At 35.3% G+C, this 27,702-nt stretch overlaps 1 long non-coding RNA gene across 1 annotated transcript in view, besides 1 other annotated feature; it reads left to right on the top strand.

Annotated features, from left to right (window-relative positions):
* LINC02505 (long intergenic non-protein coding RNA 2505) overlaps window positions 1–27,702 on the top strand; it is a 145,364-nt gene that overhangs the window by 92,444 nt on the left and 25,218 nt on the right. The gene's annotated exons all lie outside the window — the stretch shown is intronic.
* Window positions 23,761–23,922: a silencer, noted in NCBI's record as "fragment chr4:36527157-36527318 (GRCh37/hg19 assembly coordinates)". NCBI's record gives its function as "represses an EF-1alpha promoter that drives an FKBP-Casp9 reporter gene in an ReSE screen in phorbol 12-myristate 13-acetate-treated (for megakaryocytic differentiation) K562 erythroleukemia cells {active_cell/tissue: K562(+PMA)}" and the evidence as "EXISTENCE:reporter gene assay evidence [ECO:0000049][PMID:32094911]".

The following is a 27,702-nucleotide window of genomic DNA, read 5'->3' as shown; positions in this document are numbered from 1 at the left end:
AGTCACTGTTAGGATTGATTCATGATACTTTATTGCCAAGCTGCATTTGCTGATAGAGTCATCTATATCCTGGTATCCATGGAACACAGTGGAAGGGAAATCTGTCCTTGTCATTACCTGGCCACAGGCCTCTTTTAAAAGATACTAGAAAATTAATTAGACTGCAAATTCACCCATAAAATTAAAGTAAAAGCTACCTGGGCTCAGGGCTCTGAAAGAGGATAACTTATTTGGATTAGAAAATTTGTCATGTTGAGCTCAAGTAGCATTAATTTGTTTAGAAGAGATAATGATATTTCATTATTATTCCCAACCCTGAAGTTAGTCAAGAAATAACTAAAATAAATACCTTGTAAATACTGACTACACATAATACTTATACTCTATAGCAACATGGCCACACTCAGTAATCTTGACAAGTTTAGGAAAGCATTTAAATAAAATAAAACTTGAGCCAGATAAACTCTGGAAGATCTTTAAAATTAAATATAATAGTTACTGGGTAAAGCGAATGGAAAACTAGATCAGAAATAGAAATTGTGCCTTACTCTTATAATTTCAACCATGACAATATAAATAAATAGTATGCTGTTAAAAAATAATTTGACCATTGGGAGCATTTAAGATTTCTACATGCTTTACCTATTTTACAGAGAGAATAAATTTTTAAAGAAGGCAGAACACGAAGACATTTCTTTTTACCTCAAAACTATTCCTTATTTCTGACTGTTGAGCAATATGGTTTTCCTGAAATGATAGAAACAAATTTTATACAGTTGAGAATAGAGTAACTGAAAGATTCCCAACCATTTTGCTGAAGGAAGTAAATGACTTTTCTGGTTGTGCACTGTTTTCAGAACTTGGGAAACCTAAGAGAAGACATAACTAACATTAGCTGTCACTGGCGAAATAGCATAGATTTTGACATAATATATACAGGAGAGGAAAAATTAGACTTAACTTATAGCAAGTAGCTTTGCACTCTTCCATTTATCATATATAGGAAGGAAAAGAGCCATAAAAATTGAATTTTGTGTGCTTCACAGACACCATTCCATTAGATGGGTCACAGAAAAGTAGTGTTGTGTCATATCTATATTAAAAATGCTAAATATAAACATCAAAATTGGAAGAATAAGAAATATTTAATACTCATTATTTCAAAAGTGAACAAGTGATGATTGAATCACATAATAAATTCTGTGTTTATAGGGGAAGGGATATTCAGGTCTTTATTTCTGAAAATTTCTATCACCTTCTATTTATCTCACTCACCATCTAGGCTTTCAGGCTTTCAGTTCATTCAGAATAAAGACCACAAAATAATATCAGCACACTAGAGTTGGCTTGATGGATACAAAATACCTCCACAGATACATCCAAAAAGAAATTTTAAAAATTTTGTTTTGAGAAACAAATTAAACATGTATAACGTGAGGTTCTTACTCTTTCTCTTATTTCTCTTACTGCACTTAAATTTTACACTATCTTGCTTTATAACCAGCATTTCTAGTGTTGACAAAGAAAGCATTTAGTTTTCATTTTCTTAACAAAAACCCCAACAGGCAAGATAAACATTAAGTTCATTATTGAAGGAAATGAGTTTGACAACAAAAAAGATAATTTAGAATGAAATGAATTCTCAAAATAGGACAAGGAGAGTACAGGTTGCCATAAAGCTAGATAATCAAAAGTGTTGAAAAATTTGTAAAGCTGTAATATGGTTAGGCTTTGTGTTCCTACCCATTTCTCATCTTAAATTATAATTCCCATAATCTCTATATATTGAGGGCGGGACCTGGTGGGAGGTGACTGGATCATGGGGGTGATTTTCCCTATGCTGTTCTCTTGATAGTGAGTGAGTTATCATGAGATCTGATGGTTTTATAAGCATTTGACAGTTCCTCCTACACACATTCACTCTCTGTCTCACTTGTCACCATGTAAGATGTACCTGTTTCCCCTTCCACCATAGTTGTAAGTTTCCTGAGGCCTTTCCAGCTATATGCAACTGTGAGTCAATTAAACCTCTTTCCTTTATAAATTATCCAGTCTCAGGAAACTCTTTATAGTGTGAAAACGAACTAATACAAGCTGTAATTAGAATCCACTATTCACTATGCACTGTGTAAGCTACAGAGAAAATACAAATAAAAGATAAGAGACAAAATCTACTGTCAATGTGTTTTAACCCTCATTGGGAAGACAAACTAATACCACTTTTTCATCATGAAAAGCAAGGGATTTAGTAGTATCAGGATTAATCATATTTTGTCTTCAGTAATTTAAAATGATATTAAAAGTTGCATTAGTGCTATAGTAGAAGACTTATGTCCCTTTAGTAAGTACTACTATATCACCAGGAACTACTACTACCACCACAACCACCCACCATTTACTTACTGAGTGTCTACAGTGTTCCAGTCACAGTTTTAATTCCTGTAGATTCGTTAGCTCATTTAACTTATGAAACAATCTAATTGTTCTTGAGGTAGTTGCAATTATTGCCCTCATTTTTGAAAACAAGGAAACTAATGTGGAGAGATATTAAAGTGTGTCAAAATTCTGAACACAGTCAGTCTGCTGCTTGAAAAACAAAAGCTAAAGGATGTCATATTTCTAAAACAGAGAAAACTAGATACTTTGAAGGGCCCCTGATGACATATAGTTACTAGATAAAAGAAAAAAAGCTTTTAATGCACTTCTAAACTCTGAAGTCTTTTTAACCAATGAGAAGAAATGTGATTGGTCAATAATGAGGTGTAAGAGGATGAGAGCTAAATTACAGTTTGTCCAACAGTAGACTTCTTAATAGAAACAACAGGAAAAAAAGACAAAGAAATTATATTGTCAAAATGCTAGGAAGGTGGAGGAAAAACTGTCAGTCTAGATTTGCGTGTTCACAACAATTACCTTTCAAGAATGAGAGTGAAAAAAGGTATATTTCACATACAAAAAAGTTGATTTTGTCACCAGCAGACTGCAGATTCTAGTTTAAAATTTAAACTAGATTCTAATGGATATAATATTTTAAAATAATAAGTATCCCAGAGCAAATGTTTAGGATGCAAGAAGAAATAATGAACACAGAAATTAATAAACAAAATAAAACATACATTATTTATATAGAAAAATAGAAAATAAATATGGGGTTACTAAAAGAAATAAATACTGAATGCTGGTTTAATAAGGAAATAAATAATAAAACAAAAAAAATATTTTAGAAAAGTCAAACAGCCAAAAAGATGAAGAATCTATTTGACAACAGGTCAAGTAGAAAGCACAAGGAAAGATTGAAGACGTGACTTACAAATATAATAGCAATAAGAAAACAAATGTAGTTATGGTATATTCACTAGCTATCAGCTAGGTATTATTATAATGTTAGATGGAAAACCAGGTCAATTATATTGATTCATAAGAAATACACTTAAACCATACAGATATGAAAGGTTGAAAACATCACAAGAAAAGTACCTGTACTATGTTAATAAAATAAAAAAGTATTTAAAACAAAAGAAATATTATTTTGGAAACAAAGTACTATATATCAGTAGATTAAATGAGGAGAAAGAAATGCAAATTTTAAATTTGCATGTTCAAAACAAAATAGCCTTAAAATATAGAAAGTCCAAATTGTTAAATCTAAAGCAGAAATTGACAAAACATCTATTATCATGAGGAATTTCAAAACTTGTCTTTTTATTTTTGTTAAGTAGGAAACCAGATAAAAAGTTGGTTAAGGCATGCTACATTTGAACAGTACAATTTGTAAGGTTGATTTAATAGGCGTATGTAGAACCCTGCACTCAAGGATTAAGAATGCACATTGTTCTCAAGTATATATATACAAGATTTATAAAATGTGATCATATAGTAGTCCATAAATGGAATCTCAAACTTTAAAGCAAGGGTCCCCAACCCCTGGGACATGGACCATTGCCAGTCTGTGGCCTATTAGGAATCCTCACAGTAGGAGGTGAATGGTGGGAGAGGGAGTGAAGCTCATCTGTATTTATGACTACTCCCCATTGCTCACATACCACCTGAGTTCTGCCTCCTGTCAGATCAATGGCAGCATTAGACCCTCATAGGAGCAAGAATCCTATTGTGAACTGCACATGTGAGGAATCTAGGTTGCATGCTCCTTATGAGAACCTAATGCCTGCCTGGGTGCTGTGGCTCACGCCTGTAATCCCAACAGTTTGAGAGGCCGAGGCAGACAGATCACCTGAGGTGGGGAGGTCAAGACCAGCCTGACCAACATGGAGAGACCCCGTCTACTAAAATGCAAAATTAGCTAGGCACAGTGGTGCATGCCTGTAAACCCAGCTACTAAGGAGGCTGAGGCAGGAGAATTGCTTGAACCCGTGAGGCAGAGGTTGCAGTGAGACGAGATTGCACCACTGCACTCCAGCCTGGGCAACAAGAGCGAAACTCCATCTCAAAAAAAAAAAAAAAAAAAAAAAGAGAGAGAATCTAATGCTGATCTGCCACTGTCTCCCATCACCCTCAGATGGGGCTGTCTAGTTGCAGGAAATCAAGCTCAAGGCTCCCATTGATTCTACATTATGTTGTGTTGTATAATTATTTCATTATACATGACAATATAATAATAATAGAAATACAGTCCACAATAAATGCAGTGCATTTGAAGCATGCCAAAATTATCTACTCCCAGGTCCATGGAAAGTGGAGGTGTCTTTCTCCATGAAACCAGTGTCTTCCATGAAACCAGTCCCTGCTGCCAAAAAGGTTGGGGACCACTGCTTTAAAGTACCTTAAAAGTGCCTAATGAAACATTTTCTAAACAAAATGCAGTTAAGTTAGAAAAAAAAACACAAGGATAAACTAAAATCCTTACATATTAGAAAATTATATAACACACATAAATATATCTACGATCAAAGAAGAAATCACAATGGAAATTTAAAATGTGTAGAAACAAATTATAATAAAAATACTACAGCAAAATGTGGAGGATGAAGTGGCTATGGCACCCTTAAGGGAATTTAGTCTTGAAGGCTTACATTGAAAGAGAAGAAAAGTTACAAACAATGAAACAACTATCTAATTAAAGAAATTAGAAAGGCAAAAAAGAATTAACTCATAGAAACTAGAAGCAAAAGGTAATAAATTAAAAACATAACATGAAAACAAAAAAAATATAAAATAGGATTGATAAACCAGAATAGAATTCTTAAAAAATTAATAAAACAGATAATATTTGAAGAGATTGATAAAGAAAATGGAAAAAAAGACACATCATCAATATTAGAAGTTTACAAGAGGATACAAATATAGATACAACAAAGATTTTAAAGATAAAAGAATAGTGAGATAACTTCACATTAATACATTACAAATCTTAGAGAAACTAGACAAATTCTAGAGGCCAAGACTCACCAGTTTTACTCTTTTTACTGATGAACATCAGAGTTATCATCAAGAGTAGAACACCTTATTTAATGAAGTGTTTAAATTGATATTTTTTTCTCTTAGCAGAAACAGATGTCTGAACTAGTTATATAAGCATGCAATCATGGACTTAATTGATATTTTTAGAATTATCCAATCCTATGTTTTTGAGATGTGGTTTTCAATTGACCATGGCTCCTTATCAGAAAGTCCTAATTTTTAAATTTGAGCTACCAAGGCTATAGGTGTAACGATCGTCCCAAGGTAAAAATGAAGCTGAAAAGTAGAAATCACCCTCCACCTCTCTTCATCAAGATTTCAAAAGTAGGCATCTTGCCTTTCTTCTCCAATTTTCTGCTTTGAAATCCTATAAGGAAATGGAAGAGAAGCGTGGAAGTAATTGGAATAAGCTTCTTTTAATTCACTGAGAAGTTTGGAACAACAAAATAAATAAATAAATAAAGTAAAAAATTTGAGTTGAGTTTCATCAACTACTCATGTGAAATCTGATTTTTGAAAAATTCATGACCAAAATAAGAAAAGGAGTTATTGGATTTGAGCTCTATGTTGTTCTTTGAAAGATCCCCAACTTGACAATATTGGACCAATAAAAGAATAGTAAACCTGTAAATATTATACATTTGTCAGCAGTTTAAGCTCTGAAGTTAAAAAAAAATGTAGTATTTTTGTAAACCCTGTTACACTACTGATCAGTTGTTTCAATGTTTCTCTTATAAATAAATAAATAATATCAGCACTCTGTCATAGCAGATTGAGAATTAAATAACATACACAGTGTTTGGCAGATGGTAAGCACTCAGTAAATGTTAGTTATTATCATAAATATTGTAGATATAATATTTTGTGTTTACCTACATTAAACATTTTATATGCTCTTTTCAAAATCTTTATATTTTCTAATGTCCTATGAGTTTGGTAATTGTTGTTTAATCAGAGATTACGCCCTTTCCATTACTTTACTGCTCAAATGTAGCCTTTTCTGATAAATGATAGTGATAGCATTACTTAGTGGTAGCTATTTTTTATTCTAACATACTTTAGCTGACAAAAATAAACATTGGGATAAGAGGAAAAATAGGAGAAAGAGAGGCAGGGCTGAAGTTGTATAATGAGTGCATTTTAAAATACAAATATAGTTGAAAGCTTCCGAAGCTTCTTGGAGAGCTTGGAATAGCAAAAATTAGAAAAGACTAGTTTTATCAACACATTATTTCTAAAATTACTCCCAGAATTTCAAACACATATAAGCACTAGTTAATTCCTTCTCTAATGTGAACTGATAAATCTAATGGCATAAAAATTAGAGAAAAACAAGTTCAGCATTTTGCACTTAAACCTTTATAAAAGGCTTTTGTGTGGATCCATTAGAATTCAGGAAAAATTCATACGCATAGCTTCCATTTCCTAATTAAGCAATGCCTTCAGTAAAAGCCATCAGTAACTTTTCTTTTTTCTTTTTGGGATGGAGTCTCGCTGCTCTGTCACCCAGGCTGGAGTGCGGTGGTGCAATCTCGGCTCATTGCAACCTCCAACTCCCTGGTTCAAGCGATTCTCCTGTCTCAGCCTCCTGAGTAGCTGGGATTACAGGCGTGTGCCACTATCCTGGGTAATTTTTGTATTTTTAGTAGAGTCGGGGGTCTCACTATGTTGGCTAGGCTGGTTTCGAATTCCTAACCTCAATTCCTAACCTCAACCATCAGTAGCTTTTTAGTTGTATTAATAATAACAGCTGCCATCCTTTCATTTTACCAGATGTTAAAATAAAGTTTCTCTATGGGCTTGATGGATCACATGGGCAAAAAATCTATATAAAGTATGTCATTAAATATATATTTTTCTACATTGTTTAGGTATCAACAGGTAGATACTCTTTGGTCATACAAGTGTACATTAAATTGAATCCAGTTGATAGAATGTTTGATTTAATCAACTGAAAGGGCTTTGAATAATTAACAGAAGTTGTGCTCTTCTGGCTGGGTTTATTGATGTATTTTGCAGAAGAAAATCAAATGCCTCTGTGATGGTTAATATTGACTGTCAACTTGATTGGATTGAAGGATGCAAAGTATTGATCCTGGGTGTGTCTGTGAGGGTATTGCCAAAGGAGATTAACATTTGAGTCAGTGGACTGGGAGAGGCAAACCCATCCTCAATCTGGGTGGGCATCATCTAATCAGCTGCCAGCATGACTAGAATAAATCAGGCAGAAGTTGGAAGGACTTGGCTCGCTGAGTCTTGGGGCTTTATCTTTCTACCGTGCTGAATGCTTCCTGCCCTCTAACATCAGACTCCAAGTTATTCAGCTTTTGGACTCTGAGACTTCCACCAGTGATCTGCCAGGGGGCTCTAGGGCCTTTGGCCACAGAGTGAAGGATGTACCATCGGCTTCCATACTTTTGAAGTTTGGGGACTCAGACTGGCTTCCTTGCTCCTCAGCTTGCAGGCTTCCTATTGTGGGACTTTGCCCTGGGATTTTGTGAGTCAATACTCCTTAATAAACTCTCCTTCATATCTATCTATCTATCTATCTATCTATCTATCTATCTATCTATCTGTCAGCATCTATCTATATCTCCTACTAGTTCTGTTGCTCTAGAGAACGCTGTCTAATACAGCTGGTTACTGAGATTTCTGTAGAACAATTTTCTTCTTCATTTTTTTAATGTTAGGGTAAATTAAAAATAGTAATAGTAACCTGTTCAATTAGTAACTTATTATCACAAGGGACTTAATAGATTTATTTTAAGTCTCTATAATGATAAGAATATAGTTCTTATCAGTATATTAGTCAAGAGTAATAAGATCCCAGTATTCTATGCTCTAAAAATATTTTAAGTGACTGATATGATTTGGCTCTGTGTCCCTGCCCAAATCTCCTGTTGAATTGTAATTCCTAGTGTTGCAGGAGGGGCCTGGTAGGAGATGATTGGATCATGGGGGTGGATTTTCCCCCTTGCTGTTCTCATGATAGTGAGTGAGTTCTCCTGAGATCTGGCTGTTTAAAAGTGTGTAGCACTTCCCACTTTGAGCTTTCTCTCTTGCTCCACCATGTGAAGATTGCGCCTGCTTCCCCTTCACATTCTGTTATGATTGTAAGTTTCCTGAGGCTTCCAGCCATGTCTTCTGCACAGCCTATGGAACTGTGAGTCAATTAAACCTCTTTTCTCCGTAAGTTACCCCACCTCAGGTATGTCTTTATAGCAGTGTGAGAATGGACTAATACAGTGACAGAGTGGTAATATTAAGCACGAATCTCTTCAGAGACAGCCCAACTTCAGAAATATTTCCAAGGAATGAATGTAAAATAATCTTACTTTGATCAATCATACCCAGATATTTTTCTTTAGTTCTGGGCACCAGGATAAAAAAAATGTAGACCACTAGCAATCTGGAAGACACTGAAAAGAAAATGATCAGAAAGAGAATGGACTTACATCATATTATTTGGACATCACTGAATGAACTAGATATGTTAGTCTGAAAAGGAGGAATTTTAAGTAAGAAACACAGACTGCCTTCATGTATTTTATGTATTATAATTGGAAATAGAAAGTACACTTAGTATATATGGCTCTAAAGGGTACAAATACAGTTAAAAGATAAAAGTTTCTAAGAAACAAAATTCAGTGTTATATAAAAAATCTTTTAGATAATTAGCAAAGTCTTAAAAGATAATTGGGGAAATCACTTATTGGTACTGAACTTTAGTGAGGTATTAGACTATATGACATCTATGGTGCCTTCTAATACTTTTATTCTGTAACTTCATGATCTATAATGTGGTATCACTCACTCTTTGGTGCTCCTAATCTATGTAAGCATAGGAAGGCTATCTATCTATCTATCATCTATCTATCTATCTATCTATCTATCTATGTATCTATCTATCCATTTTTCTAACAATCTACATACCTATCTAATCTATATATCTATAAAACTACATTCAGTTTTTAATTATCATCATAGTAGATTTTTAAAATTTTTATGTAACACTTTTCAGAGTGTGAATTCAATGCCTATTTGTTGAATTAAAGTGAAATGGCAAAATCCCACATAAAAAATATAATTCTTTTGGAGAATCATAGAATTTTCACATTTTCAAATAGATTGTTAATGTCTGTTTCTTACAGTGAATTATTTGATTTAGGAAAGTTTTTACTTAAACTGCATTAATCAATAAAAATTATTGCTTTTTCCATAGGATGCTTGCATAAATCACCCTTCTAGCTCCAAAGACTCAGCAGTTATTAAACCAAAAATGGTATCAATATGTGTCTCCTGGGAAGTATACTTTCAAATAAGTTTAGAAAAATAAGACAAAAATAAATCCTTTCAAGAGTTTATTAATCTAAATCCAAATTAATTCTGCTCTATGTCTGGGATTATTGGAAACTGTACTTAAAAAGCTGAAAGAGAATTGGAGAGACAAGGGGGTATTTTGAGAATGAGTGAAGATAAGGAAAGAAATGTTACAAATAATATTTTTCTCTAATTTCTGTGTAAATATGTTGATAAAATGACAGTTAAATTAATGTTGAGAATATTTAAATATTAATGAATTTAAACCATAATAAGCAAAATAATAAACATAATTATTTTGAGCTTAAAGAGTGTATCACATTTCTCTGTAAGATGATTCTCTATTCAGCTTAACGTGCTACCTCATTTTGAATTATTAAAGTGTGCTTAGAAATCTTTCCCATGAGATTTTTTTTGCTGTTTTTTACTACATTTGAGTTTGATGTTTGGTACAAACTGGATAGACATACACATTTGCATTTTGATCAAAGTTTGGCAGTGCTTTTCCCTCACATTTATAATCTATAATACGTGAATTTCCATAGGGGTGGAGAAAACACCTATTGAAGAGGAAATAGAAATAAGACCCCACTCTCTCTCACTCCAAACCCAGACTATTTCAATTCAAAATATTCCAGCATTTCTCTTTAATCAGTACAGCTGAAGTCCATATTATAAGGAAGAACAGATATAACTTCTGAGATACAATTCTACAGAAGACACTAGAATGAGTAATTTGCTACTCCTGGAAAACAAACAAAACAACAAAAACTCCATAAATAATCAAACAAACTAAATTTTGCTGACTTCATTCTCAAAAGTCAAGAACAACTGAAATTGGCCGAGCCACGTGGGAAGAGCAATGCGGAAGGTCAAGGGTATTCAGAGGCAACAGATTATAGAAGATGACCCCAGAATGGGCACCTTGGTTGTGAAAGGTTTACTCTAAAGAGCAAAAGCAATATTTTGAATTTATAACATCCATAGTGAGAGCTGTGGTGGGCAAGAATGAGATATAGTTGAAACCAAGTGTCGGAGAATTACAGGTTTAGGTGCAAAGTGTATGTGGAGAAACCAGTATCGGCAAACATCCAAAAATACTACAAGAGGCACATACATGTCCTGAAGCTCAAGGATTTACCATCAGGGTTCACAGGTTGTGTCCATTGGACAAGGCTATTAAGATACTTGGGGCTGACAAGGTTAGTTGCAAAATGTACCCTGGATATGGTTAGAATCAGACAGTAGAGGAGGTGAGTTAAACACCACCTCTGTGGAAACAGTAAAGACAGGAGCCTCTGTTTTACGTAACCTGGACAAAGAATCAGAACTTTTCCTTCACTGATGCATAGCAATGTCCTGTAAATATCTGACCTAGAAAAATCTAATTTATTCACAATTGAGTAGAAAAAGAAAACTGCTACTTTAGCCGTAGAAAGACTTTTAAAATCTTTACAAAAGAAACAAAATGTATAAACAGATATTTAAAACCCACTTATCAGAAAATGCATTGCTTAAAATAGAAAAAAAAGATCAATCCTTTTCACACAAATTGAAAAAAATAATGAAACAATTGCTTCTAGGAAGAAGTGCATGAAGCACAAATTAAAAAGCTTAGGGAAAAATTGGTGAGACAACTTAAGGAAATGTGAATAGTCTAAATATGCCAATTGAAAATATCAAAGTTCTAAATATACCAATTAAAAGACAGGGACGGTCAGATCCAAATATATGTTCTTTACAGGAAACCCACATTAAATATAAAGACTCAGATTAAAAGTAAAGGAATGGAGACAGATATATCACACTACTACTAATCAAAAGACAACTGGAGTTAGTCACATAAAGCAGACTTAAGAACAAGGAAGATTATTAAGGTAAAGAGAGGCATTGCATAATGATAAAGAGACCAATTCTCCAAAGAGACATAATTTCAATGTGCCTAACAAAAGAACATCAAAATAGGTGAGGCAAAATCTGATAGAACTGCAGGATGAAATAGGCAAATCCACTGCTATAGCTCAAGTAATTCTTTCAGTAATTCATAAATCATGCAGGCAGAAAATCAGTAAGGATACAGTTGATATGAACATCGCTATCAGTCAACTTAATCTCATTAACATTCACAGAATAATTCATTCAACAACCATAAAATAAACATCCTTCTCAAGCTCTCAGGAAGTATTGACTAAGACAGATCACACTCTGGTCTTTAAAAATACCTGAAGAAATTTAAAAGAGTATAAATTATACAAAGTATGTTGTCACACTACAATGTAATTAAGCTAGAAATAAATAACAGGAAAATCCCTTAGCATTTGGAAATTAATGACATACATTTAAATAACACAAGTCAGAAAAATTTAAAACTATTTTGGATTACATAATATCAAAATTTGTAAAGTACAAAATATTATACGACTTATCAAAGTTTCTAGAGTTGAGTGCAATTCTTATAAAGACACATGTAGTATTGGCCTGGCATGGTGGCTCACACCTGTAATCCCAGCACTTTGGGAGACCGAGGTGGGTGGATCACAAGGTCAAGAGATCCAGACCATCATGGCCAACATGGTGAAACCCCGTCTCTACTAAAAATACAAAAATTAGCAGGGCATGGTGGGGAGTGCCTGTAGTCCCACTATTTGTAAGGCTGAGGCAGGAGAATCACTTGAACCCGGGAGGCAGAGGTTGCAGTGAGCTGAGACCATGCCACTGCACTCCAGCCTGGTAACAGAGTGAGACTCCATCTCAAAAAAAAAAAAAAAAAAAAAAAAGACATGTAATATTAAAAGAATATATTAGAAAAGAAGAAAGATCTAAACCAATAAGATGAGTTTCTATCTTAGGAAACTAGAAAAAAAACTATTTAAGCCTAAAAGAAAACAGAAAAAAAAATAAAACTTAGAAGAGCCATCAGTGAAATTGCAAATAGTAAAACAATAGAGAAAACCAGCAAAACCAACAACTGGTTATTCGAAAAATTACTAACATTGATAAACGTATAGCCAGGTTTACCAAGAACAATGAAATGAAGACACAAATTACCCATATCACAAATGAAGGAGGGGTCATCAATAGTGATTCTGCACACACTAAAAAGGTAATTTAAAAATACTAGAAACCACTCTGTTCCCACAAATTTGATAAATTGAATGAAATGGACCAATTCCTTTAAAAAGCACAGACTACCCGAACTCACACAAGGGAGAATAGATAACACGAATAAGCCTGAATCTATTAAAAAAAGAATAAATAATTAATAACCTTCCAAAACAGAAAGCACCAGTCCCAGATGGTTTCACTGGTGAATTCTACCAAACATTTAAGAAATAAATCCTAGCAATTCTCCATAAAGTTATCTGGAAAATAGAAGTAGAGGGAATACTTTCTAATTCACTTAATGAAACCAGTATTACCCTAATATCAAAATTAGATAAAGACATTGGGTAAATGGAAGACATTAGATAAATGGAAGCTACTGAACAGTATCTCTCATGAATAAAATAGATGCAAAATTATCAAGCAAATATTAACAAATCAAATCCAAAAAGGTATTGAGAGAATGTATACTACAACCAAATGGGATTTATTCCAGGAACACCAGGCAAGGTAAACATTAGAAAATCAATCAATGTAATTACCACACCGACAAGCTGAAAAGAAAAATCACATGATTACATCAGCTGCTACAGAAAAATAAATTGACAAAATCCAGCACCCATTTACGACTTAAAAAAAAAAGTATCAGAAAACCAAGAACAAAAGGAAACTTCCTCATTTCAGAAAGGAAAGACAATAAATGGTGTTGGAACAATTGGCTAAATAGCTAGAGAAATTAATTCTGGTCTATACCTCACACTATAGAGCAGAATATACCTCAAATAGTTCAAATATTCAAAATTTTAAAAATTAAATATTACAGCATTGAAAAATATTTCTAAAACTTGGATCAGTGATGACCTTCAATTTATATTCAAAGCCTAGAAATTAACTCCTGTGTTGTGAAAACTGATATTAAAAAATGTTTCAAGAAAAAATAAAGCTCATATCACAAAGGCTCACATGTAAGAAACTCTTAGAAATCAATTAGAAAAATACTTCAAAGAATATAAGTAGCTAATGAAAATAAACTAAAATTAAAAAGGCTTTTAAACATATAAATGGTGCTTAACTTTGTTTCTAAGAAAAGAAACACGAATTGAAATTACACTGACATATTGCTTTCTACCTGTCACATTGGAAAAAATAAAATGGAATGATAATGCACCTTGTTGATAAGGTTTAGTAAAACAGAAACTTTCATTTTTTGATGATGTTAATGTGAGTTTGTACAATTTCTGTGGGGGTACATTGGGCAGTTATATAAAATTTAAAAATGTATTAAATCTTTAATCCAGTCACCACAATTCAGTTAATTAGTTTTCCTATAGACACAATTGCACAACTGTGATATAATTTATGATCAAGTAAGAATTGAGGCATTGCTTATTATATCAATGGATTGAAAACCTAAATGTCTATCAATGGGTCAGTTGGTTAAATAAATTTTAATATATAATGTAATATTTTATAACTGTAAAAGAATAAAAAGTATCTATAGATTAGTATAAAAATATCTTCAAAATGTAAAAAGTAAAAAACAAAAACAATCTGCATAGAATTATGTATAATATACCTTTTATTAAAAAGGTAATATGCTTTTTATTTAAAAAAGGGAAAATAGCACTATATATTCCTAACTTTTTGGTATTTTATTTTTAAAAACTCTGGAGAAATATGCAAGAAACCAATAATGGTAGTTACATATTTGGGGTAATAAGGAAGCAAGGTGCAATCAATTTTTTTGAACTTACAAATGTATTACCAAAATCACAAAAAGGTGTTAAATGTCTCCGTAAAGGAAGGCACAATATCTGATGGAATCCCTCTCTACATTAACACCCAGGCCTTTGGGTCCAGGTGCAAACACATGTACTGATGTTCCCCCTAGCCTGCCCACCACAGTTCCATGGATTTATCTCAGTGGAACATGGCTGAGCATGGTAAATAAAAAGAGCTACCTATTTAAAAATTTGTAATACGTACTCCATGTAGTTTTATTTTGCAATGTCCCTGTGATGGTTAATTTTAAGTGTCAAGTTGACTGAATTAGGCAATACCCAGAGAAGCTGGGCACAGTGGCTCATGCCTGTATTCCCCGCATTTTTGGGGGGCTAAGGCAGGTGGATCACTTGAGCCCAGGAGTTTGAGACCAGTCTAGACAACATGGCAAAACCCCTCTCTACAAAAAATATGAAAATTAGCCAGGCATGCTGTCATGCCTGTAGTCTCAGCTGCTGGGGCCTGAGGTGGGAGGATTGCTTTAGCCCAGAAGGTTAAGGCTTCAGTGAGCCATGATCACACTCACACCTCTGTACTCCAACCTGGGTGACAGAGTGAGAGCCTGTCTAAAAAATAAATAAAAAATAAAATAAAATACAGAGAGAGAGAGAGAGAAAGAGAAATACCCAGAGAACTGGTAAGGCATTCCTTCTGTATGTGTCTGGAAGGGTGTTTTCAGAGGAGATTTGCATGTGAGTCAGTGGACTGAGTGGAAGGTCTGCCCTCAATGTGAGCTGGCACCATTCAATCAACGGGTGGCCCAGATAAAACAAAAAGAGCAGATAAAAGATTATTTTCTCTCTCTTTCTGTCTCTTTCCTGGAGTGGTGATGCTTTTCTTCTCATGCTCTTAAACATCAGACCTCTAGGCTCTCTGGCCTTTGAACTATAGGTCTTACAACAGCGGTCCCCTGGTCTTAAGGTCTTAAGGCTTAGTCTGAGAATTATACCAACAGCTTCCTTGGTTCTGTGGATTTGGGACTTGGACTGAGCCATGCTACCAGCATCCCAAGGCCTCCAGCTTGCAGATGACTTGTCCTGGGACTTCTAAGCCTCCATAATCATGTGTGCCAATTTCCCTAAAAGATTCCATCTCATGTATCTTTCTATATCTCTGTCTATTATCTGTCATATCGGTTCTGTTTTCCTAAAGAACCCTGACTATTATAGCTACCAATTGAATACAACATTGGAAGGAAGAAAGTCCTAGTACTCCTTTCTGACTCAAAAACCCACCTTGGCCTGGCAGAAAGTTCTAGAGACCTAGTGGGATGTATGAAGCAGAAGAAAACTAGGAACTACTAGATCAACAGATATAGTAAAGGCCACATCTCTGCAGCTTGCTGCACCTCAATGAGTCTAATCTACAAAGTCTAGCTTCAAGGTCTATAAAAGAAAGTGGCCATGGGCTGGTCCCTGGTGTCCAGCAGCAGTGAGTAAGTGTTGAGAGAAATTTCCACTGAATCGATTTCACAGAACTCTGAGCACTGAAAACCACTACATGCAGGAGGCCTTGGCACTCAAAGCAGCCAGGACAAGCCTATCTATGGAGATACCCTGAGGTGCAGAGGGGTGAATATCAATCTGGAAGGGGAACATGAATAATTATGTATCCCCCAGAGTACATACAACAACAAAAATATGCTAATGGACTCATACCAGTCTAATTGTGTAATAAAACGGAGGAATGTGCCTGAAACCAAAGGATACCTCAGCCAAAGACTGACTTACTATTTAAAGTAGACAGGAGATTATAGCCATGAAAGATAATTGAGAAATGTGTATACACTAACTACAGAAGCCTGAGAGACTGATTGCAAAAATGCCCTCAGTTCTCCACCCCTCCATGATTCCTACCCTCTGCAACAAGACTTTGCAAATCCCCCTTTCAAAATGAGATCTACCCCTTTAATCTGAGCTGGTCTTGTGACTTGCTTTTGTTCAACAGGGTATAGCAGAAATGCCAGTTTCAAGTCTAGACATCAACAGGTTTTGTATACACTTGCAGACGACCTGTCCTGGGGCACAACAGGTTTTGTGTACCTTCAAAAGAGGTTTCACTCTCTTTTGAATTTCTATGCCTGCCATGAGAATAAGTACAGGCTCAACTGCTAGAAGAAAGAAACCATCCAGAGTAGTGCCAAGGCACTCTTTCTGAACCCGAGCCAGACCAGCCAGCTTTCAGTCCACCTACAAGTTATCAGCTAGATCAGCAGAACTGCTCAGGCACCACATCAACTCATGAGACATGATAAATGGTTGCCATTTAAAACTACCAATGGTTGGAGTTGTTGGTTCCCCAGCAACTGCATTTATATACGGAATTTGAATACTGAGAATAAGAAGGAAATAAGGAAAAGAGGGAGGGAAGGAGGAAGAAAGGGACACCAAAATAGATTCATATTTACTTAATGTGTTTGTCTTAGCGGATTTTATCTCCCCACTCCCCAGTGGTTAAACCCTGATAGTAACATAAGTGTTAAGTTAATCATCTCTTCAATTTGAGCTGCACTAATTAATTTACAGGCTAGAGTGTCATCATGCCTATTGCATCTGACAGTAACAATTTCAGACTTCAGATTACTAAAGGTTTTTATAACCATTGATTCATCTTTCCCCCACGATAAACCTGAGAAATTGGTCATTTCACTTATAAGAAAACTGGTTTAGGATATTTAACAGACTTGTTAAGTGCCAGAGTTTGTGAGTGTAAGTGGCAGAATTTGACCAGGACTCCTATTTTGTGAATTCAAATTCTGCAAGTAGAAAAGGTAAGGAAATTGGCAAATGACATATGTGATATGGTTTGGCTGTGTTCCCAACCAAATCTCATCTTGAATTGTAGCTCCCATAATTCCCATGAATTCCCATGTGTTGTGGAAGGGATGTGGTGGGAAGCAATTGAATCATGGGGGTGGGTCTTTTGCTTGCTGTTATCAAGGTAGTGAGTAAGTCTCATAAGATCTGATGGTTTTATAAGGGAGTTGCCCCACACAAGCTCTCTCTTGCCTGCTGCCATGTAAGATGTGTCTTGCCCCCCCTTCGCTTTCTGCCACGATTGGGAGGCCTCCCCAGCCATGTGGAACTGTGAGTCCATTAAACCTCTTTCCATTATAAATTACCCAGTCTCAGATATGTCTCTATTAGCAGCATGAGAACACACTAATACAATATGTCAAACTCTTGTTATCCTGAACACTTCTAAAGGTTAATAGCAGTATCTCACTTATCTATGCCACACTTATAATAGCTTTACCATTTACTTGTTTTGTAAGATTGGGAATATCATTTAAATACTTGTACCTTAGTTCTCTTAACTGTATTATCATTGCAACTGACTTACTGTGAGCATTAAAGGACATGATACATGTAGAACAGTTGCTCAATGTCTGTCACAAAGTCAGCACATAGCAGTAAATAAATAGTACCATAATATTAGTTGTACAAAATAGCCAATGACTAGTACATGGTAATTAAATATTATTGAGACAAATAATAACAAAAATACATTGTTTTCCCTTTAATTGTATTAACTTAAACTTTTTCTGCTGTGAGACACTTCTGGCGACATTTTTTTCAACATAGGTGCTAAATTCTATTAATAATTTGGCCAAAAACAAGCTTATTCATTCCCCTAATAATTTAGTATCTGCTTCAGTAATTCAAATTATTTGAAGACTTGAAAAATGAATGAAAACAGGGATTGTCTTTTATAACTTAGAGTAGATAAATACATGTAATAAACAGTACCTTGTTTGCTAACATAATTGTTACTTCTCACCCTGAAATAGATTAGAAACCAAATATTAAAGATAATCTTAATTAGAAACAAATTGTAAATGTAGATTATGTCATGAAAATGTCAAAACAAGTCAAGCAACTTAACAAAAGGTTCAGACATGGGGATGTCATTTCAGCTTGTTGTTAAATATCCAGACAGACTCAGATTTCCACTGACAGGGCTCTCTCTTCACTGAATTTGCCAGGCTTTTGGCATTACAGATACATCCTCATAATCAGTAACCTCTATATGTAGACACAGGAAAATCTAGAATCACACTCCTCACAGCAAAAATGAAATTGACTATTGCCACATCTTAAACTAGAAATTAAAAGATAATCTACTGTGATTTATTAATGGCAGTTAATTAAACCATTCCCTGAGTAATAAAGTTTTCTTTAAATTAGAAAAATATGATTTTATTTGTTTACTTTCAGAAAACATCACATGGGCTCAGACTCTGGACATTTTACTATAATTTCCATTTAATTCATATCAAAGTGTCAAATATTATTTTAGTAATATCTTATTTTGGATAGAGCAAAAGCAAAACAGTACCAGATAAATTATTATAGGACTATGAAGAAATATATGTCTGACAACTCTGTGGGAGGTATGTATTTTATCCTTCAGCACTGAGGCTTCTATTAGTATCTACTACCACATTAGCTTTTTGAAAAGCAGCTTTATATAATATATAAACAAACAGGGGAAAGCGGGACATTCCTACGAGACAGGTAGGCTCCACCATTCTTGGATTGTGTTATTTAGGAGCATCTTGGATCTTCTTCAGCACATGGCTGTGCTTTTCCTTTTCCCTGACTTCTGCAGTAAGGTGTGCTGCACAAAAGTAGGATTTCTCAACTATGCCACCATTGACATTTCATGCTGGGTAATTCCTTGGGGGGAGTTTGGATTGTTCTTTGCATTTTAGGTTGTTTCATTTGGCAGCCTATCCCACTTCTACCCAGTAGATTCCAGTAGCAATGCTTTCCTGAATCCAGTGGTCACAATTAAAATGTCTCCAGACAGTACCAAATATCCCTGGGGGATTTAAAAATCATCCACATTGAGAACTACTGTACTACATTCAACAGGATAAACTGTCACCCCAGCATTACCAGACCTATTCTCCCAACACACATTTTTGGCCATGCTTCATGATATACAGAGTTCTGCATCCAATGCAATAACCTCAATTCAATTCACTATATCTGTAAAAATGCTTATGTATCTTGCCCTGACTGCTGTCACCACTGGTGGTACCTAAGCATGTTGTCCAGGGGCCTGGCGATTGACCAACCTCATTCATCATCACCAGTGCCTGTACATGCCTCCTGGGAGCCTGAGGATAAGGCTACTTGGCCTGCCACTGCTGCCTGCACGCACTGCCTGGGGTCTGGGAATAGGCCCACTTCATCTACTGCCAGCACCTATGTGTGCCTCCCAGGAGTGTGGGGACAAGGTAGAACAGCCCACTACTGCCATCAGTGGCACCCATGTGCACCACTGGGGGCTTCAAGGTTGGTGCATCACTGCTACTGCCACATCTGATGTAACACATGGCATCCAGGGGATCAAGAGTCTGATCACTCTCCCAGGTCACTGCTACCACTGTTAGCACCTGAGCAAGGTGCTTGAAGGCCTAAGGGCAGCCATGCTGGACCTACCACTGACAGTGCCTGCATGCACCACCTGGGGGCCTGAGGACTGGCATGTCTGGCCTGCCATCAACACCATCTGTGTCTGGCATCCTTGTCCCCAGCAAAGCTTCACCACAGACTCCACTAACAACCACAGCCTAAGCCACTGAGGAAGTTATAGACCCAACTAACAGCAATTGCAGCAGAAGAAATCATATGCAGACTACACTACTGCACCTACCCAGAAACAAAGCCAAAGAACCCTATCTAACTAACACTATAAGTACATCTATTGGAAAAAGTTTTTCCTTACAAAAAGTCTTTCTCCTTCCAGTCCATAAAAATTGGAAGAAGTAATTGTTATACCAGGCATGCAGATATCAAAGTAAGGACACAAGAAACATAAAAAAGCAAGGAAACAGGACACCCCCAAAGGAATACAATAATTCTCCAGTAACAGATCCTACCAAAAAGGAAGTCTATTAAATGCCTGAAAAAGAATTCAAAATAATAATATTAAAGAAACTCAGTGAGATACAATAGAGCACACATAAACAACACAAAGAAACCAGGAAAACAATTAATGATTTAAATGAGAAATTCAACAAAGAGATAGGTACTATAAAAAAGAACAAAACAGAAATCCTGGAAGTGAAGAACTCATTGAATAAAATAAAAAATACAATTGAGAGCTTCAACAACAGAGTAGATCAAAAAGAAGAAGGAATTTCTGAATTTGAAGATACATCTTTTGAAATAACCCAGTAGGAAGAAAAACAAAGAAGAAAAAAGAATAAAGAAAGCCTACCTGAATTTTGAATTTCTACAGCTGCCATGTGAATAAGTACAGTCTAAACTGCTAGAAGAAAATAAATCACCTACAGTAGTGCCAAGGCATTCTTTCTGAATCCATGCCAGAACAGCCAGCTTTAAGTCTACCTACAAGTTGTCAGCTAGATCCTGGAAACTACTCAGGCACCCCATTAACTCATGAGACATAATAAATGGTTGTCATATATAGGCCACCATAAAGTGAAAATATTCAAATTTTGAGAATTCTAGAAGAAGAGACAGGCAAGGCTTAGAAAATGTATTTGAAAAAATAATGAAAACTTCCCAAATCTATCAAGAGATATAAACATCCAGATACAGAAGCTAGAAAATTCCCAAATAGGTAAAACCCTAAAGGTCTTCTCCAAAGCACATTATAATCAAACTGTCAAATATCAAAGAAAGATTTCTAAAAACAGCCAGAGAAAAAGGTCAAGTCATATATAAGGGAAGCCCAAACAGACTAACAGCAAATTCCTCAGAAGAAACTTTACAGGCCAAGACAGAATGGCATGAAATATTCAAAGTGCTTATAAAAAAACCCTGTCAGTCAAGACTATTATACCCAGCAAAATTATTCTTCAAAAATGAAGGAGATATAAAGCCTTATGCAGACCATCAACAACTGAGGGAATTTATTACCATTAGATTGGCCCTTCAAGAAATACTTTTGGAAGTCCTACATCTGGAAATGAAAGAATGATATCTACCAGCATGAAGGACAAAAGGATATACAAAATATACAAAAGGATAAAACTCAGTTGTAGAGCAGATATGCAAATGAGAAAGAGGAAGGAGTTAGGCATTACCACCACATAAAACCATGAAACCACAATGAAAATAAGTGATAAAGAAAGAAACAAAGGTTATACAAAACAAACAGAAAACCATTAACAAAATCACAGGAATAAGTCCTCATCTATCAATAATACCCTTGAATGTGAATGGAATAAATTCCCCAGTTAAAAGATACAAACTTGCTGAATGAATGAAAAATATAATCCAATTATACACTGCCTACAAGAAACTCACTTCACTTGCTAAGACACATACAGGCTCAAAGTGAAGCGATGGAAAAAAAAATATTCCACACAAACAGAAACCAAAAGGAAGCAGGAGTACCTATATTTATATGAGATAAAACAGATTTTAAGTCAAAAACTGCAAAAAGAGACAAAGTATTTCATTACATAATAATAAAGGGCAAGATAATATAACAGTTATAAATACATATTTACCCAACACTACAGTACCCAGATGTAAAGCAAATATTATTAGGTCAAATGGAGAGATAGACTTAAATAAAATAATAATTGGTGATTTCAGCACCCTACTCTCTACATCAGACAGATCATCTATACAGGAAGTAATGAAACATTGGATATAAATGCACTTTAGACCAAATGACATTCACAGAACAGTTTTTGCAACATCTGCAGAGTACACATTCCTCTCATCAGCATATGGAACATTTTCTAGGATAGACCTTACATGAGCTCACAAAACAAGTCTTAACAAATTTTTTAAAGCCCAAATTATATCAAGGATCTTCTCAGATTACAATAGAACAAAACTGAAAATCAATAACAAGAATTTTAGAAACTATACAAGCACCTAAAAATTGAACAGCATGCTCCTGAATGACCATTGGGCCAATGAAGAAATTAGGAGGAAAATTTAAAAAAATATATTTTAAAATAAAAGGGAAACATAAAATACTGAAACCAATGGACACAGCAAAAACAGTGCTAAGAATGAAGTTTATATCAGTAAGTGAACACATTAAAAAGTAGAAAGATTTCAAATAAACAACTTGATGCACCTCAAAGAATCAGAAAAGCAAGAACAAACAAAAATCCAAATTAATAGAAGAAAAAAATAATAAAGATGAGCTGGGCGTGGTGGCTCACACCTGTAATCCCAGCACATTGGGAGGCCAAGATGGGCAAATTGATTGAACTCAGGAGTTTGAGATCAACCTGGGCAACATGGTGAAACCTCATCTCTAGAAAAAAAAAACCAAAAAGTTATCTGGGTGTGGTGGCATGTGTCTGCAGTCCTAGCTATTCAGGAGCCTGAAGTGGGAGTATTGCTTGAGCTCAGGAAGTCAAGGCTGCAGTGAACTGTGATCATGCCACTGCACCACTCCAGCCTGAGAAACAAAGCGAGACCTTGTCTCCAAAATAAAAAACAAATAAATACATAATAAAGATAAAAGGAGAAATAAGTAAAATAGAGAATAAAAAACCACAGAGGATCAACAAAGTGAAAAGTTGGATTTTTGAAAAGAGAAATAAAATTGATAAACTACTAGTGAGTCCAACCAATAAACAAAGAGAGAAGCCCCAAGTAAAGAAAATCAGAAACAAAGGAGAAAAATTACAGCTGATATGAGAGAAATACAATGAATAATTAGTGACTATTATGAACAATTATATGCCAACAAATTGGAAAATCTAGAAGAAATGGATAAATTCATGGACATATAAAATTTACCAAGATTGAACTATGAAAATATTTTTTAAAAGCCTCACCAAACCAATAATAAGTAATAAAATTGAAGCTTTAATAAAAAGTTTCTCACCAAAGAAAAGCCCAGGAACTAATGGCTTCACTGCTAAATTCTACTAAACATTTAAAGACGAACTAACACCAATTCTACTCAAACTCTTTAGCTACTATGGAAAACAGAAGGATCCTCAAAAAATAGAACTGCTGTATGATTCAGCAATTCCACCACTGGGTATTTGTCCAAAGGAGAATAAATTAGTATATTAAAGGATACTTGCACACCCATGTTTACTGCATACTATTCACACTAGCAAAGATAATGGAGTCAATCTAACTGCCCCCAAGGATGAAGGGATAAAGAGAATATGATATACATATACAATGGAATACCGTTCAGCCATAAAGAAGGACAAAATCTGCTGGGCACGGTGGCTCATGCCTGTAATCCCAACACTTTGGGAGGCCAAGGTGGGTGGATCACAAGGTCAAGAGATCGAGACTATCCTGGCCACCATGGTGAAACCCCGTCTCTACTAAAAATATAAACATTAGCTGGGCTTGACATCGCTTAGTCCCAGCTACTTGGGAGGCTGAGGCAGGAGAATCACTTGAACCTGGGAGGCGGAGGTTGCAGTCAGCCAAGATCATATCATTGCACTTCAGCCTGGCGACAGAGTGAGACTCCGTCTCAAAACAAGCAAAAAAGGATAAAATCCTGTCATTTATAGAGACACGGATGGAATTGGAGGTCATTGGGTTAAGTAAAATAATCCAAGCCCAGAAAGATAAACATTACATGTTCTCAATCATATGTGGGTGCTAAAATAAATTTGACGTCATGAAGGCAAAGAGCTGAAGTATAGTTACCAGAGGCTGGGAAGGGGATAGAGGGCAATAAGAAGAGGTTGGTTAATGGGTATAAACATACAGTTAGATAGAAGAAATAAGTTCTAGTGTTTGATAGCACAATAGTGTGAGTACAGCTAACAGGAATTTATTATATATTGCAAAATAGCTAGAAGGGGATATTTAAATGTTCCCAATGCAAAGAAATGATGCATGTTTGAGATTATGTATATCCTAGATACCCCGATTTGATAATTACATATTGTATGCACATATCAAAATCTCATATGTACCCCATAAATATGTACAATTTTTATGTATCAATCAATATAAAAAATGTTTATGTAAGAGGCAATACTAAAAGGTAGATGTTAGAATGGTCCTTTAGATCTTGAATTTACAAAAAAAGTTTTATTATATTAATCCATGTTGTATATATTACCATCTATTAGTACTCTTTTTTAGTATTCTAACCTGTTCCAGCATATATATATTGAGATACAAGAGTGGAAAAGAGAGTGAGATGAAGGGTTTAGATTTGCATACCCGAACTTAACATACAAATGGAAATTCTATGTAATCAGAACATATTAAGTGGGTATATTTATATGTACATGTATACACATGCACACACACACACACACACACACACACACACACACACACACTATATTTATTACTGTCAAAGTCCCAAAATCAAAACTTATAACTGGAAGAAATGTTCAAATGAGAAAACGAACAGTGGTTTATACAGAAGAAACAGGGAAAATGGCCCTTTAATATAGGACTTTACCAAAAGTTAGATAAGAAAATACAATGTTGGGAAATGTGTATATATGGAACTAGAAAAATGATCTTTGAGTTTCCAATTGCTGGAAGTCTGTCCAATTCTCACCAATAGGGATTCTGGGAAATCTCCATCTTAACTGAGATCCATGGCTCCCAGGTCTCTTTGGACCTAGAGCTAGATGACAGTTATTACTTCTCAATTCCAAGACCCAGTTAATTTCCCACCACAGAGGGATTGATAGTGGGAATAGATATTGCTTTCCTTAGAAGCAGAAAAGTGGCTGAGAGAAAATCATATTATACGACAGGAAAATTTTTAAATTCTGAAGAGTCATTGAAAATGAGCATCATGAATAACATCCCAGCATTCGGGTCCATCTTCTTTTTACCAGCTAGTTTTGGGAACTTTGAGACATGTAGCATCAGGTCTATCTACACAGACATGTGCTGTTCATAAAATGTCTTTGAGAAAATGATTGGACTAACACAAGAGCCATATTGTAAAAATAGGAAGGAAAGAAAGAAGGAAAGAAGGAAGGAAGAAAGGGAGGGAGGAAGGGAGGGAGGAGGAAGGAGAGAAGAGTTCAGAGAATGTTAAGAATTCAGAGAGTTCAGAGGGTGTTAGGTATTTATATCATTTAGAGAAACATTCTTAAAACTTCAAGGGCACCGTTCTGCTAAATGTATATCATATTTAAATGACTAAGGAAAACTCTTCCATAGTTTTAGTTTCAACCAACTGCCTTCAGAGTAGTTTTGACTTTATAATTCTTTCTAAGAACAAGGGAACATTGCTTCTTTAACATTATTGTAAATAAAATACCCATTTTAATGATTTTCCCAAAGTCAAGGAGTTTTTTTTCCCAAAGATAAGTTGGTACTACTATTCCTATAACCAGAAATCTGTGAAAAATTTAAATGCCCTTTCTCTGGCTTCAAAACATTATTTCTACTAGAAAAGTCATTTGAAAGAGCAAATCACCTTATACACAAAAGCATGCAGTGTGTAATGCCTCTCAGCAGCAGACCCCCAGAAGCTTTTGCTTTGTAGCACTGGATAGCTTAACAATAGACTTCAACAGCAGCAGAAACACTGAGAAGACTTTAAAGACTCAAAGAGGTGCTTGCAGGTAAGAGTTACAATTATACACAAACACAAGCAGCCACCAAGCCAGCAGGACAGAAAAGCTGCTCAAACATAGAGGAAATGTGTAGAAAAGAATAAAGATGTCTGAGATAAAGTTGTAGAAGGGAAGCAAAGGTGATTGAGAGTATGTAAAAATGTACTTCAAGTTTTGAAATGTAAAGGTGAAGGCCGGGGCCATTAGAATAGGGCTTCAAAAACTCACCTTTCTTCTCGTCTTAAATATAAAGCAAGCCTTTACTTATCATTGCTCAATTCTTTTAGTATGCCAAAAATTATATTTTTACATAATGGCTTCAACCAACATTAAAGATTATTTTGATGATTTTCCTAAAGTAAAGGATATTTGGTTCAAAAATAAACTGGTGAGAAATCTGTGAGAAACTCCTAAATGCCCTTTCTTCAGCTCTAAAGGACGAGTTGGCGGGTAAAAGAATATCCCCGGCAGACCAAAATGTGGGGACCGTAACTGACTTTGAGATAAAACTTCTGAGCTTTAAAATCCATCACCTGGTGTGCCCAAAGGACATGCCACTCATGGTGCTACTACCAGCCAGTGAGGCGGGAGGTAGGGGATATGGGGAGCAACTAAGGCTGACCAGGGTTTCTCTGATGGCCCAACAACTCTCCTCTATAGCAGTCAAGGACATTTCCCTCAACTGTTTCTCTCTTCCTCATATGTGAGACCTGAATGTTGCTCACATGGCCCTACCAGCCTTTCCTAGTCCCCTCCCTAGTGTCTCTCATTAAAGCATCTCAATATTATCCTTGAATGTTAATTCAATCTTGATGTTTGGCCAAAACTAAGAACCTATTCTTAAACCTATTCTTAAACTTATTCTTCAGCTTCATGGCTTGATGCTTCCGAAATTCTAGGGAAAACCCAAGCACTGATACCCTAGGAAAATTCTGTCTTAGAATTTGTTTCTAAAAATTCTCCTCAAGGGAAAGCCTCCTATAAAATGAAATAAAAAGACAAAATGTTTATAATATATTGTTAAGTGAAATATGACTTTTTTTAAATTTATTTTTTATTTCTATAGGCTTTTAGGTAACAGGTGGTGTTTGGTTACATGGAAAAGTTCTTTAGTGGTGATTTCTGAGATTTTGGTGCACCCATCACCCAGGGAGCATACACTGTACCCAATGTGTAGTGTTTTATCTCTCACCCCCTCCCTCACTTCCCCCTAAGTCCCCAAAGCTCATTGTATCATTCTTAGGTCTTTGAGTTCTCACAGCTTAGCTCCCACTTATAAATGAGACCATACAATGTTTGTTTTCCATTCCTGAGATACTTCACTTACAAGATTAGTCTTCAATTCCATCCAGGTTGTTGCAAATGCCATTATTTTGTTCCTTTTTATAGCTGAGTAGTATTCCATGGTATATAAATATATACCACATTTTCTTTATCTACTCATTGATTGATGGGCATTTGGGCTGGTTCCATATTCTTGCAATTGCAAATTGTGCTACTATAAACATGCATGTGCAAGTATCTTTTTTGTAAAGTGACTTCTTTTTTCTCTGGGTAGA

The sequence above is a fragment of the Homo sapiens genome, chromosome 4 (genome assembly GCF_000001405.40).
Source record: "Homo sapiens chromosome 4, GRCh38.p14 Primary Assembly".
Classification (NCBI taxonomy): Eukaryota; Metazoa; Chordata; class Mammalia; order Primates; family Hominidae; genus Homo; species Homo sapiens.
The sequence above is the reverse complement of the archived record's forward strand: the minus strand, read 5'-3'. Positions and strand labels throughout refer to the sequence as shown.